This window comes from Homo sapiens, chromosome 21 (genome assembly GCF_000001405.40).
Source record: "Homo sapiens chromosome 21, GRCh38.p14 Primary Assembly".
NCBI classification, from domain to species: Eukaryota; Metazoa; Chordata; class Mammalia; order Primates; family Hominidae; genus Homo; species Homo sapiens.
This window is the reverse complement of record NC_000021.9, coordinates 34176666-34192420: the sequence shown is the minus strand read 5'-3', so window position 1 is coordinate 34192420 and position 15755 is coordinate 34176666. Positions and strand designations below refer to the sequence as shown.

Here is a 15755-nt window from a genome sequence, read left to right as displayed (position 1 = left end):
TTTGTGGAGGTGGGGTTTCACCATGTTGGCCAGGCTGGTTTCGAACTCCTGACCTCAGGTGATCCTCCCACCTCGGCCTCCCAAAGTGCTGGGATTACAGGCATGAGACACCATGCCCAGCTGGTATCTGTATTTTTTGAGGCAATTTCCACTTAAGTCAATATTTCTAAAGCCTGCCTAAGTATGCTGAATGTGCAAACAAACCCCTTTTGCATGCTGAGAATATCCCAGAGGGGACCCAAGTAGAAAGCCACCTGTTTCAAACAGTCAGGTCTATGTTATACTGTGGCATGGCCAATGGCACCAGGGCTGGCTGGCTGCTGAGGACAACTCATGGAGTGGAATGTGACCAGACAATGTCAGCACGCATCAAAGGTAGCAGCCCACTGGGGAATGGCATCTGACACTCCTGGTCCTGAGACTGCAGGAGGGAGAGACCCACAGCCAATGGGACACCCAATGGGAGTCCTGCTCTCCCCAGAGGAAATAATTAGCCCTGAATTGCCCCATTACTTGATATCTATCTCCAAGGTCAATGTGAATGAATAGGTCTCTTTGCTTGATTTCTTCCCCTAGAGCAAATGTTTCAATGATCTCCACACTCCTCCTTAATTCAGAGTCCATTGTCCAGCACATTTGAGCCCCTCCATGAAAACAAGCTCCTAGGTGAGTATAATGTAAATAAAACCATTGCCATCCAAAACGGTGTTTCTTGTTCAACCCTGCTTGCAAAAGCTTACTCAACCGGCAGAGACAAAAAGCAGTGCTTTTCGAAGTATGAAAACTACCCATTATCCCATTAGAGAGATGCCGGTTACAGAGATGCCGGTGGAAATCGGAAGCTTCTGGCTTCAGGCAGAACTAGTGAGTTTGAAGCTCACTTTTTAAATGAAAAAAGTAATGCTCTTTTCTTCTTTGGGACTCACAACAGCTAGTTCATAGTGTGAAGCCACAAAACTAGACCTTTTAAAAATGATCTTGTCCTAAGACTAGGAGGTTGGAAGAGACGAGAAGGTTTTCATTTAAAGAATGAGAGTTTTTTCTGGCCCTTTGGCCAAACTGAATCCCATCCACTTGTCCAATCCAAGATCCTCTTCCTGGATTCACTATCTCCAGATGGGAACTTGCTAGATTTCATTCATTAAAACCAAGGCTCCCCACTTGCAGGCACAAGTTCCCATCTGCTGCCACATCTTTGCAGTATCAGCTCAGCCTTTCCTCTTCTGGCACGAGTTCACAGGCTCCTGTAGAACCAGAGGTAGGTGTATGACAGGGGTTTTGTGCCTTGAGTGAAAAACTTACTTACCCAAGACAATAGTGCCATTCCACATCCATTTTCTGCAGACATTTCAATACAAAAATGATTGAGGTGGGAGGTGGGAGTACGGGGGAGGACTGGTGGATTATGCAGGGATCTTGTGGCTGCCAAAACCCAAAATATATTTCCCTGCTGCTTATAAACAGCAGTAAAAGGTCACAGCCACCTCCGTCTGAACTTCTGTCTGCTTGATAAGAGCAGTTGAAGATGTATAAACATTGCTTCTCCCATCTTCCACTCACTTTCAATGAAATACTACTTAAATACAATCAGGACGACACATCTTCAATATTTAACAGCTCGACTATGGCCCTGGCCTGCCAGAGTGGATATCGTGAAGACCAGAGCAGGTGGGGGAGAACCCTATTTCTTCTAAATCCTGAAGCGGGGGTGGCTTTGCAAAACAGAAAGACTTGCAAGTAAATAGACTGAGTCATCACCTAGGATAAGTGACAGCAGTCTTAACACATTGCATGGCCTTGGATTTTACATCAGCCAACAAAGATAATGAGATTTCTGCCTTCTCTTATACAGACATTCTACTGGCCAGATATCCTTGTCCCACTCAACATGCAATCGTTTGGGGGATAATTTTATCCTCGAGGATCCACTCTCTGGATTCGCTGTCTCCAGGTGGGAACGTGCTAGGTTTGCTAGCACTTTGCTACAATATTCTCTGTAGCTGGAACTTACAGTATGGAATGTGAGGAACAGAATAATAGTAGTAGCTCCTCTGCACACCCAGATACTCAGAGGCAGATTTTTCTGCATGAAGGGGGACTTGCTATCGTGATCCTGGACATTAAGGACATTTTAAAAGTAAGTTAGCACTGCCCTCCATGGCTGGCTGCTCTGTGGACACCCTGGGGAAGAAGCACTTACTTAAATGATTAGACCTGGATTCTGACCTTCGTCCTGAAGTGCGTGGTCTGTATGTATATGTGTGTGTGTGTGTGTGTGCACGCGCACGCATGCGAGCATGTGTGTGACTATGTGAGCATGTAACACATGCGTGTTCATTTGCTAGGTCTTGTTCTCCCTCATCTGTCAAATAGCAATGATATTACCTGACCCATCTACTTCACAGGATTGCCTGGTAGATCAAAAAAGAAATTGATGTATTAGGGTTTGTATTAGTCCATTCTCACACTGGTATAAAGAACCGCCTGAGACTGGGTAATTTATAAAGGACAGAGGTTTAATTGACTCACAGTTCTGCATGACTGGGGAGGCCTCAGGAAACTTACAATCATGGAGGAGGGCAAAGGGGAAGCAAGACACCTTCTTCACAAGGCCACAAGGCAGCAGGAAGGGGAAGTGCAGAGCAAAGGGGGAAGAGCCCCTTATAAAACCATCAGATCTTGTGAGAACTCTTTCACTATCGTGAGAAGAGCACAGGGGAAACTGCTCCCATGATGCAATTACCTCCACCTGATCCCTCCCCTGACACATGGGGATTATGGGGATTATGGGATTTACAATTCAAGATGAGATTTGAATGAGGACACAAAGCCTAACCGTATCAGGGTTCTTCCAGTGAGACAGGATGCGTATAGAGAGATATATTAGAAGGAATTGGCTCACAGAATTAGAGGCTGATAAGTCCCCAAATCTGCAGGGTGAGTCAGCAAGCAAGACCCAAGAGAACGGATGGTGCACTTACAGTCTGGGTCCAAAGGCCCAAGAACCAAGAGAGCTGATGGTATAAACTTCAATCTGAAGCCTGGCAGGTTGAAGATCTAGGAAGAGCTGATGTTTCTATTCAAGTCCAAAGGCAGGAAAAAGTTGACGTCCTAGTTTGAATGCAGTCAAGCAGACGAAATTTCCTCCTACTGAGGGAGGGTTGGCCTTTTTGTTCCATTCAGGCTTTCAATGGATTGGATGAGGCCTGGCCATATCATAGAGGGCCATCTGCTTTACTCAGTCTACCAATTTAAATGTTAATCTCACCCAAAACGCCCTCACAGAAACACCCAGAATAATGTTTGACCAAATATCTGGGTACCCCTGGGCCCAGTCAAGTTGACACATAAAATCAACCATCACAATGGAGTCAGAGGCAGCACTGAGTACTGGAAAAAACACCATTTCTGGAGGTCAACAGCCCAACGTCAAGTTCCAGCTCTCTTACTTCCTAGTTGTGTGATCCGCAGGTTACTCGAACTCTCTGAAGCTGCCTCAGTTGCCTCATCAGTAGAATAAGGATGACAGAAGAATCAGTGTCTGACACATAGCAGGCACCAAAGCGTTGGCTGTTTTGGATGCAAAAAGTACTTTTCAATGGTTCCATTTGCCCTTTGCATTTAATGTACATCACTATTTTAGACAAAAGGGGCTGCAAGACACAGAAAATACAAAGGAAGAAAAAAGGAGGCATTACTATCAACGAAGAAAAATAATGAACCAGCAAGTGATGTGGACCTTATTTATACAACCTTACCCTTAAGTTAGTAGACCAGGATCTGTGGGCCTTGGAGAGACATCAGAACTGCTAGACTGTGTGGCTCGGCTCCTCAATGTGAAACTCCTTTACTTTCCCGGGGACCCGCGGACGCATATTTGCCTTGGAACATAATGGTGGGGTGGCTGTGGCCCTTGCAGAGTGTGGGCATGTTTCACGTTATATGCATGCGTGCTGGAGGATGAAACCAAATCCATTTGGGACCTGACACTGTCATCCACCAAAAAAGCAAAATATTTTCCCATCTAGAATCAAAGTAGAAAACCACTCTCACAGTTGGTTTGGGTTTTAAAGGCACACTAGTGGTTGAAAAATGGTTTGTGGTCCAGACAAGACTTGAGCCAACCCAACACTTCATTACAGTGCTGGTTCCCCTTCCAAAGTCCTGCTGCAGCACGTGGGCGGTGTTAGCATCCCTCTGGCAGCTGAAATGGACCCAGAGAAGGGAATCATGGTTAGAGGAGACCTAGACGGTACAGCAAGAAATGCAGAGGCTGGGCTGGCCAGACGAGACTGCTGGGGGCCAGCGTAGAGCTCTCACAGAGTGTGAGATATTTGGGGTTTGGCAAACCCGAAGAAGCAGGTTGCCAAGTCCCACAGCTCCCTCTCCCCCTGGTGTATTTCAAAGGAAATTAAATCCACATGTTTCTGATTTGCTGACACTTCAGGCTCATCCAAAGGTGGTTTTGCAAGAGTGGCTTGGACATGAGGAGCCCAGAGAAACCCTAATTATTATTGTTATTTTTCATTTTGAAATGCAGACCTGTACACTTACATAATCCATGCCATGCCTACCAAATCAGACCCCAGTTTTGCCTTCCCAAAACTTTTTGTCCCGGGCCCACCGGCAACAGGTCATTGAAGTCAACTGGAGAAGAGAAACGATGACTTTAACATCCAACCTAGAAATCCGCCTTGAAAATAGCACCCAAGAAACGCCAACGCTGGCATTCAAAAGCAAAAGCACTGTATGGATTGGGTCTATGGATCTCATAATTTCCTTAGACTCTGGGCCAAGGGGCAAAAACTTAAATTCAAGATGGTAGGTCCTGGATGTGGGGTCTGAGGTGGAAGGATATGGAGCTCAGAACCTCAAGAGGAAGGAACCATCACAAAAGTGTTCTCTAGAATGTTCTCAATTGACCAGCCATATCTATGAATGAAACTCTGACAAGCTGCAACCAAAATTCGGCTTCAGGGACAGAGAATCTCATTATACACTTAGAAATAATTTAGCACTTTTGGATGTGACCTATGACCTCTCCACGCCTAGCCACATGCAAACAATTGACCAGAGAGGTCAGGGACCAAAGAGCTCCTGTCTTCTGACCCAGGAGTGAACATTGTCCATTCCTCCTATCCCTCTCCCATTTAAGGCTTTTCCATTCACTTCAAGGGGCCTCCTCTCCTGCCGTGAGTGAGTTCTCCCAACAGAAGCGGTGGCTTTGTCCTGGTGCATGGCAGTGTGCTCTACACGCTCGATAAACGAGCAATGAAGGCTGAGAAAACGAATTGGAAAACAACCTTCTCCAGTCTCTCCGCTCCCGGGTTGGAATTTTCAAGCTCCAGCCCTCCTGGTCCTCAGAACTTCACATTTGTTCTCCGTTTCTCCTGCCTTTTTAAAATCCAGGTAGCAGCCCAGCGTTGTGCCTTGCACCTATAATCTCAGCACTTTTGGGAGGCTGAGGTGGGTGGATCCCTTGAGCCCAGGAGTTTGAGACCAGCCTGGGCAACATGGCGAAACCCCGTCTCTACAAAAAATACAAAAATTAGCTGGGCACAGTGGTGTGTGCCTGTGGTTCCAGCTACCTGGGAGGCTGAGACAGGAGGATCGCTTGAGCCTACGGAGGTCAAGGCTACAGTGAGTCGTGACTGCATCATTGTACTCTAGCCTCTGGGCAACAGAATGAGATCCTGTCTCAAAAATAAGAAAACAAAATAAAATAAAATCCAGGTAGCCCTTTCTTCTCAGGTCTCAGCTGAGATGTCCCATCCTGGGAAGGCTGATGCTTTTCAGCCCAGCTTGGGAGGCCTGCCCCCCACCTATATTGAGCTTCCCTCCCTTCCAGGTGTGTGTACATAGATACATACTCGTGTTTAGCTAATGAAGTACAAGGTCACCTGCACAGGCTGCCTGCCCACCGGACTGCTGGCCCCTTGAGGCCAGGAACCAGGGCCATCTCTGTCACCCTCTTCCCAGAGCTTGGCACCGAGGAGGTGGGAAATTGGTACTGGTCCTCTAATCAGCTCTGCTCCCTAACCCTGCGACCAGCCTTCGCCATCAAGACGGCTCAGTTCTGTGAACCGTACAAACCATGAGTCATTAGAGCCTTATCAGATGCTTCGAGACTAGTGCCCACGTGAGTTAGTCTGCTGGGGCCGCCGTGACAAAGTGCCAAAGGCAGGGTGGCTTAAACAACAGACGTTTATTGCTGAACAGTTCTGGAGGCCAGAAGTCTGAGATCAAGGTGTTGGCAGGGTTTGTTCTGAGGGCTCTGGGGGAGAATCTGTTCCAGGCCCCTCCCTTAACTTCTGGGGGTCACTGGCAATCCTCAGGTTCCTTGGCTTATAGAAACATTGCCGCAGACTCTGCCTTCACCTTCATATGGTGCCCTCCCTGTGACTGTGTCCAAAATTCCCCCCTTTTAAAAGCCACCAGTCATCCTGGATGAGGGCTCACCCTTAATGGCCTCACCTTAACTGGATCATCTGCAAAGACCCCAATTCCAAATAAGGTCACGTTCACAGATACTGGGGGTCAGGACTTCAACATCTTTGTTGAGGGGGACAAAATTCAACCGGTAACTCCTCAACCTATAATACCACTCCTCCGGTAAAGAAAAAAATATTTTAAACCAACTTAAAATTCTCATTGAAATAAAGTAACCATTTAATTTATTGCCCAAACTGGAACATTTTTTGAGAATAAAAGAGAGTGCTATTGGTAATTTTGTAGGGAAAATGAGCCGCCCAGTCTGGGCCACATGGCCACCCTCTGTGGCTAAGCTCGTTTCTCAGCCCTTCCCATGCAAGGATGCGGTTTTACCTTCACTGCAAATCCCTCTTTGTTTGTGTTCCCCAGCAGGTCCAGTGTGTTTTATACACAGTCGCAGCGAAACCAAGGGATTAGCTGTATTCCGGCTGTAGTTAATTCACTGTTTCCAGCTAAATGCAAGCCCAATCTCAGCAATTAATGTGGCCAGATCAAATCAGGTTCTCTTTACACCTGTTCCCCTGCTTAATTAGGTTCTCATTTCCCAGGGGGACTCAAAGGCACTGAGAACCATTAGCTCAACCCTGGATTAGGAAGGCAGCATCAGGCCCACAGACATCACCGTCATGCACAGGCGATGTCCCCGAGACAGCTCCAGCCCTTACGTCTAGAAATGTGTCTTGACAACTGTGATGCCCCCAGCGTGGCCAAGGGAACGATCCCCTTTTTTGTTAGAGACTTCCTTTCATGTCGTCCCAAGGGAAGGACGTGTTCCCAGTGGTGCTCCTTTCTGAGGTAATTGTTGGACAGGAGTCAGCCAGTTAAGCCTGCCCACCTAATTAACGGGAGTCTGTTATGATTTATCAAAATAATGAGATAGGGAACAAAGACATTGCTTCACCCCCCACCCACCCGCCTGATATTTTGGCCTCTTTTCTTCCTTTTGGAAGATGACCCAATATTAATGAGAAATGAGTCACTTATTATTGGGGTGCAAATAGAGAGATAAATGACATCAGTAATTAAGTCTCAAGCCCTCTTTGGTATAATGGAGCCATTTGTCAGGCAATATTATTCAATTAATTAATTCCATTAGGGCTACCACACTTCTCCCAACCCAGCCATTCAACTGTCAGCTCTGATCATTTGTATGATACAAAAATAGAATGGTTAATAAATGCATCATGAAACCAAAAAGAAAGTATTTTCGCCATCACAAGAAAGCCAACTAGAAGTGCGTGATTTGTGAATGTGTGAAGTGCTCACAGCCAGCCGCAAACCTCTTCCCATCACGGACTGAAATGTATCTGGTTGTTTCTTAGTTCAAATCTCTAGGAAGAAAAAGGGAGTTGGTCCAGCTCATCTTCTTTTGCCCTATCAGTAACCAGGGAAAGGAAAGAAGTCGGGTGACATGAAATGGAACTGTGTAAGGGACAAGGGCAGGCAAATACAGTGGGAGGGAAGGTTTCCAGAACAGCAGCTCCCAGCTCACGTGCTCCACATAGGTCTGCTGTCTTTCCTGTCTTGCCAAGTACAGAGGAGAATCCTGACCTCGGTCTATGCCCATCCACCTCTCATTGCTCACAACTCATGTTAGTTTTGTCTCCGTTGAGGCTCGTATTAATTAATAAATACACCTGCATTCTCTCTGATTCCATTACTCTTTCTGTTCTCCTTTTCAACCCATGCCAGTTGGTCTCAGAATTCTTTACCTCCCTCCTAGTGGGACATTTGCCTTCAGAAAAAAGAAAGGTAACAATCCAGAACCACAGTTAAGGAAAGTCTGCCTAAATGAATGAGTATCATCATATTCTAGAGAAAGGCCAGAAACTCCTTATGAATCTTGACATATCCCAATTTACCTCTTAATTCGTCTCCAAATCAACCTTTTTCTTTGATCAGCAATATTAACATACATAAAATACCATCTCCGTGTTTCATTTCTTGTTCTGTTCTGCTTTGATTAGGTACTAATACTCCAGGAGCACTGGGATCTGCTCATTTTCATTGTGACGCAGCAGTATTTCAGCCAAGTTTGGAATTAAATATGCCTTTATGTGCTGGCATAAAAAGCTATCTACCATTCCTAGGAAAACAGCTTCTATTCCAAACAGCTGACTTCCAAAGTCCAGAACATAATCTATTTGTAAGCTGCGTGGCTGCCTACACAGTTCCAGCCCCTTTTCTCTCACCTCCCAGCTAATCAAGTAATCTTTTGTTTCCTGAGCCCATTCTGTGGAGAGGAGTGTAAATCAATCAACAGCGAAGGCCTCCAAAGCCTGCAAGCCAGGATGAGCAGGAACAGGCCAAGGGCAATGGTTCTCAAACTTCAGCCAGCATCAGAGTCGCCTGGAAGATCTATCGCAACAGACTGCCAAAGATCTGGGGTGCAACTCAAGAACTGGCATTTCTAACCTTCCTCCTAGTGGAAAATTTGCCTTCAGAAAAAGATGGCCCAATCCAGGGAAGAGCCACTGGCCTAGAGTATATGGGACAGAGGTACAGGGAGGTAACTAGATGTTCAGAATCCTCAGCAGCCAGCCACATAACCTAACTGGTCCAAAACCCACCCTCCCCTGGGATGGATCATGAAGGAGTAAACAGCCCTCCTTGGTCTCTTCTGCCTTAATCTGCAGGCAGAGATTACACCCTACCATGAGATGAACAATTGCCTTGGAATAGGTCAGCATCATGTGCCATTTTATAATTATATCTACAAATGATACGACAACTCACAAGATTTAGGGATTTCTGAATGTTTGTGAAAATATTTTGTTTTGTCTGCTGCTTCTTGTTGATGTCACACATACCCAAAGACATTCCACGGGTTTAACAAGTCTTGGGCATCTTGTGGAAGACTCAGATTCTCATCCATCTCAGAGATGGATGGGGAACTTGACGGTTTTAATTCTGTGCACCATGATTGCAAGGGTCATCTGGTCCAGCATTTCCCAAACTTCTCTTGAGTCCCATTCACAGAGATATGCAATCCAACCAATCCCTTTGCAATTGTGTTCATGTCTTCATGTTGGTGTGTCATTTTAGTGTCTTGGCCTGGGTTCCCCTCAGAAAGCATAGCCTGCAACAAGGGCTTTGTAAGGGAAGATTGGTTTGGAGAGTGATCTCAGCAGACAAGAGTCGGGGCCTGAGGGTGTGAAGCAGGGAAGAAGGTGGTGACCTGCTCCATCTTATCTTCTGGGAGGATCCTCTGAATTTGCAGCCTAGGGGAAGAAAAAAGGGAGTACTAATTTATAGACTCCCACCCCCTTTTGGCCAAGAATTTCCTCATAGAATGTTGACTCCCTTACACTTCCAGGTTGCACAAGCCTCAATACCAGGACACTGTGTCAGAGAGGCCCAGGGCAGAAATGGAGAGACGCAGTGCAGCTGAAACAAGGCACCTTCTGGTTACACCTGCGCAAAGCTGGCTGCTCCAGCAATGGCTGGTGTGGAAGATGGGTCAGAAGGTGAGAGATACACACAGAAGATATCTACTATAGTGTGTATGCAAAAGTAGAAACTGATAGTCAAAATATTTTCTATTTCGTCAACATAAATTTCATGTTAGCTACAATCTTTAATATCAATATATTTAAAATTTTAATCAAATGTGAAGATTAACACCAAGTTTCAAGAGTGTGTGGCTAAAACCCATAAACCTTACAATGTACCTACATGCCTCATTTCTAGAAACTTCTACCATTTCTGTGTCCACAAGAGCTAGGAAACAGTGACTACACAATAAATTTTATGATAACCATTTCAGGGCCACCAGATACAAGGAGGAAGTCAATAAAAGAGTTATTTTGTGTCAGCTGTTGGGTGCTCAGATTAAAATAAAAATTGAAATTAACCAGGAATTGGGGCATCAAAAATTGCTTTCATGACCTCATGTCTGAAATTCTTATATTTTGTGCTTAAAATATCAGCTAGCTGCTATTTGTAATCACTTCTTTACAACCATTTGTTCTCTATAAATGAAAACCAAAATTAGACATAACTGTCCCTGTCTTTTCTTTCTGTAACACTGGGTTTCTGAGGTCCAGGGGCAGACTTTGACGAGACAAAGGCCATCTTCAGATAAAGTGAAGATTATCATGAGGCAATTTACTGAATTATTAACATGAATTTCAACATCTGTGTTGCTAATGTTTCTAGCCTTTAACAAATGATCCATTTAGGATATGGGCCAAAGAACATATGGCTAAGAATAAAGGCCATTTGAAACCGCACAGGGGTTAGCATCGTTGGGGGCTCAGCACACAGTGAAATTGACTGAGGCCAAATCACGAGCATGCTCAGTTGAGCAGCCCCTACTGCCACGCATGCGTACATGGGACCCACTCAGGGGCTCTGGAATCGTTCTGAGATGAAGCAGGGAGGTATTTAAATATTTCGTAAAAAATGTTTTATCATTTGAAATTTTCAAAAATGTGCAAAAGTACAGAAACTAGTATAATGAGCCCTCAAATATCTCACCCAGCTCAAACAAGTATCATGGCTAATCTTCAATAATTTTTTAAAAAATTTAAACAGGCATCCGTTTTGCTCCCAAAGGCAGGAAACCAGGGAACATTTTCATGACCCTCTGAGGGTTTGTGACCTGCTGTCTCTGGTTCACTGACCTTATTCAATCCTCTCTTTATACAAGGGAATGCTATGCTTCTCCCATTCTCTGGCTATTTCTCATGCTCGCACCAAATTAAGTGGACTCTGTCTATGATTTCAGCAACGGTGACATATAATCCCAGTGTTAAAGGACGGAATTTTCCAATGCAGAAGCAGCAGAAAGTGAACAGAGGAAACATTGCCATGAGCAAAGGCTCCTCAACACAGTATCTCCGACTGTGCTACAAAGCCACCCAGCGTGTGGATGAAAAGTGAAAAAAAAAAATCTGACAATTGAGTGATTGTTCTCTCTCTACAAGCAATCCTACTATTTCTAACCCCTCCATGGGCTGCACAGGCAGCATGCAGACATTGCCTAGGTCTTCCTACAGGGGCCGGCGAGCCCGTTGTTTTCCAACAGACCAAGATCCGACACCAGGATTGCAGTCATCAGAACCTTTCCCTCCCCACCCCCACCCCCGCCCCACACCAAAACGAAGAGGGAGTTGAGCAGGGCAGCTACTCACCTTGTCTCATTTGTTCACAAAGAATCCAAAGCCAGCAACATCGATCAGCTTCTTGCTTTTTGTCCAACTACTTGCCTACAACTCTAGAAAAACAACAGAGGTCTGCCAAGAATCTGCAGTCCCTTCAATCTCAAAATAATGACTAGCCTATCCAGTGTTTCCATCCAAGGAATTGTTGGTTGCTACACAAGAAAACCCTTTGGGTGGTAAGAGTCAGGAGTCCAAGAAAGGCATGTGGTTATTTTTGCCCCTTTCTGGACCCCGTCTGCACTTTGGAAAGAAAGGGAAATCTATTTTTGACATTGGCTATTCAGCTTTCAAATAACATTAGCCGTTAAAGCATATCTAATTTAAATGCTGATTCAAAGTTTTGCTTAACATTAAGACGACTTTTTGGTCTCCTGCTTCCTACTGCCTCAAGCAGAAACACGGCTTCCCATTCGCATTCTGTTTTCTTGGCAAATATGAGCTAAAGTTTTGGAATAGGTTAAGGAATTAATGCCTCCATTTTCATATGACAACTTGCATCTTTTTAAAAATAATAATATACCAGAGTGATGAAGTGGAAAGTTTCATTTTTTTCTTTCAGATTACAGCACTTCTAAGACTGGCCACCTCATTCAATACAATTTGTCATTAAAGAAGGAATTATGTGGTCACGAGATATGAGAGGAAAATGAAACACAGCGGGGTGGGGGGAGGGAGAGCATTAGGATAAATAGCTAATGCATGTGGGGCTTAATACTTAGGTGATGGGTTGATAGGTGCAATAAACCACCATGACACACATTTACCTATGTAACAAATCTGCAAGCCCTGTACTTAAAATTCAGTTAAATTAAATTTTAAAAAAAGAAAAAGAAAATGAAACACAATGGGGTCGGGGGAAAGAATGGAAAGGACATGGTAGTTTTGGAATATTACAGTGGGCACAGGCATTGTTACACATCAACCTTGAGACTAAAAAGGCAGGGAACGAACATGAAGTTCACTGGGACTTTGCAAAAACTAGTAAGTATTGTAGTGTCACTGACAACAACACATCTGCATCCAGCCTCCAGAGTGGCTTCCCCTCGCCGCTCCTTGCTTGAAGAGAAAGCCAAGAATTTGCATTTCATTGTTTTAAAGAGAAAAAACAAACAAACTATACTTCTAATAGCCATGAAAGCATTTGCAATCCAGAGTTCAGCTTGTCTTTTAGTTAAAAAAAAAAACAGAAAGCCGCACTACTTTACCAAAATGATTCCTAACATGAAAGGATGGAGTTGTTTTGCCTTTAACTCATTTCAAAGGCAAAGAAAATTGCTCTTCTTCAAAGCCTTTGGTTGGAATTGTTCATCCAAAACAAAATAAAATTAGAAAAACAAAGCAGCTCGCCCTGCCCTCATCCCTGCTTAGCAACCACCCACCTTCTCCCAGCTGGAGGCTTTGGTGGACGCTTGGTTGTGCCACTACCTGATCTTCTAGCTGTCGATAGACATTTCTTACCCCTGAGAGATACCCTGACCTATCATTGAGGCCCCGAAGGACTTTAAGTAGGTGTTTAACTGGTGGTGTTGAGTGACTGCATTTAAGAATTATAAGACTTTAGTTGTACTATAGAATTAATCTCTTTTTATGAAAATAAGAGAGATGGGAGTGAAAGATAATAAAAGCCACAGTGGATGGTTAAGTATCAAACTTCATTAGACATGGAAATAGTAATAAAAATATTAAACTACAAGGAAACTTGAGTTAGAATCTCCATAGGGGGACGAACTGTACTAGTATGCTTGGGTCTGCCCATTATAGGAGTTCAAGGCTCATATCCCGTGAAACCCCTCAGTTCTGGGCAAACCTAGGGACAGGTGATCGCCCTGCAGGCTGCCAGTGACTCTTAGAGACAAAAATCCAAGTGTTGACTTAGTTGGAAATCAGAAGGCTCATCACAAATGCTCATGTACATCCTGTACCCGTCCCACTGTGAGGCTCCATCTCAGCCTCCTGTTTATTTCCTTCCTTGCACTTAAAATAACATGAACATTGTTCTGTTTATTCCCTTATTGTCTGTTCTCCTTACTCAGTGTGAGCTCCATGTGGGCAGGGGAGTCAGCCTGTTTCCCACTGAAGCCCTAGAACATTCCCCAGCAGACAAAGGATGTTCACGAAACATGTCATAAGTGCAGAAGAACTCTCCCTCCCAAATTACTGAATTGGACAGAATTACTGTATTCCACAGATTTTAAGAGGCACAGTTTTTCACAGGCTAACATTGCTGAGATCCAGATACATCTTAATCAGGAGTATCTTTCAAAAGCCATCGGCCATGTGCATCCACCCAGCTGTAGCTGTTCACATTGTTATCACTTTGATTGAGATCTGTGCATTTGTTAGCTTAACCTCAGAGTTTAACTACTGTGTAGGAATCTCCCCAAAGAAATTTCACTACGATTCAGCACTGAAATAACAAGCTATTTTGTAGTCAGAAAGGTACAGAAACCAAGCAGTAGGATGCAAAGGTGGTATTAGTGAACGACATTTATCACAGAAAGAATGATCAGGAGTCCATATTTTCTTGCAAAGAAACAATCAAGTGCACCAGAAACCTCGCAAAGGAAGATACCCACCAGTCGGACAAGCTGTGTTACTTTCTATTGCCGAGTTACTTGTTTCATTGCCAAATCTCTAGAAGAGATGAAGATTAACTTAAAAGGAATCTGATGTCATTGATTCATATGTCATTCAGGACTGTCATTAAAGGCATCTGTCACAGTGTGTTGGCAGTGTTTTTCCTCTCCTATTGGTATATAAAATAATGGCTGGTCTTACTATCAAGCCATTGTAGACCGGACTTGATGAAATAAGATATCATAGGCTTTCTCAATCTTTTTTTCAGGTCTGTGAAACAGACTGCCCAGAGACCATCAAGGAGATTGCTGGCACATGGCAGGGTCAGTAGTGTAGCAACTCATTCGGTCTCTACAACTTTCCCAGAACCTTCTGGTGACAGTACTCTAAGGGCCCCTACTCCTGGTGAGGGATGAGACAAAGGGCCTCTGGCTCTAATACCAACTATAGTTTTCGAGTCCCTATACATTTCCCATGTTGCCCCCTCATGCCAAGTACTCTGTTGAGCTAGTCCAGTCCTGCCCCTCACCCTGGACTCCCTGCAATGCTGAGTGATGCCCATTTGCAAGGCCTCATTATTATCTCAGCACCGCCCAAGTCCTGTCATATGTTAGTGTCTGATAAATCTCAAACACTAATTCCAACATGTACGTCATTGGCAGTTATCCACCATTTTTGGTTGACAGTAGCTGCATAATTCTGGAGAAGGGATTCGTGTATCTAATTGTTTTGCTTCTACAGGACAGAAGCAGGAGAAATGCTCAGAAATGGTGCAGGTAGACTCACACAAGACAAAACCTGGTCAGTAGCCCAAACAGAAGCGTACAGTTAGGAGAGTCATTAGAGAGAGTGCAGCCCACAATTATCAACAATGATCACGTGTTCGGTTAAACAAAATGTGTCCATTTTTCTTAAAGTTTTTAGAGGCTCTCAATGCATTGTTGGATGTTGAAACCATTTCATAGTTTGTTCATTCATTTATTTTGTTCACCGAATAACTGAGTGCCCAATCTATGCCAGTTTACTCTGCTAGGCATGGGACATAGAAGAATGAACAAAAAAGATACAATTCCTACAAGGCATATAGCATAGAGCAGGCTTTTTACTTGGGACACATAGACCCTCCCTCCAAGTGGTTCATAATTAGAACGCAGAGGTCTAAGGAATTTAGATGGGAAGAAATTACAGCATTGTCTTCACTAAACTCTCACTCCTAGAAATCATTGATTTCTTCTCTGTCACGTGTTTCACCTTTTTGAGAGTAAAGTATATCATTCAGTATGTAGAACTTTTGAGATTGGCTCCTTTTACTCAGCATAATGTCTTTGAGATTCATCCAAGTTGTTGGGTGTGTCAATAGTTCATTCCTTTTTATTGCTAAATTGAGTAGTATTCCATTGTAGAAACGCACCACAGTTTATTTACCCATTGACCCACTGAAAGACATTGGGTTGTTTTCTCTTATTAGTGATAATGAATACAGCTGCTATAAACATTCATGCATAGGTCTTTGCATGAATA

At 44.1% G+C, this 15755-nt stretch overlaps 1 long non-coding RNA gene across 2 annotated transcripts, besides 1 other annotated feature; it reads right to left on the bottom strand.

The window, feature by feature from the left end:
- Positions 1-2501: 2501 nt before the first annotated feature.
- LINC00310 (long intergenic non-protein coding RNA 310) lies at positions 2502-11744 on the bottom strand. 2 transcript variants are annotated; one of them, NR_027266.1, is made up of 2 exons: positions 11628-11744; positions 2502-3653 (listed from the first exon to the last, which is right to left on the bottom strand). It is a non-coding gene; the product is annotated as a long intergenic non-protein coding RNA 310 (long non-coding RNA). The 2 variants fall into 2 exon arrangements; NR_027267.1 differs by lacking the exon at positions 2502-3653 and adding an exon at positions 9176-9713.
- Positions 12347-13224: an enhancer, noted in NCBI's record as "NANOG hESC enhancer chr21:35551498-35552375 (GRCh37/hg19 assembly coordinates)". NCBI's record gives its function as "activates a minimal SCP1, AML or CMV promoter by ChIP-STARR-seq in naive H9 embryonic stem cells {active_cell/tissue: H9 hESC(naive)}" and the evidence as "EXISTENCE:reporter gene assay evidence [ECO:0000049][PMID:30033119]".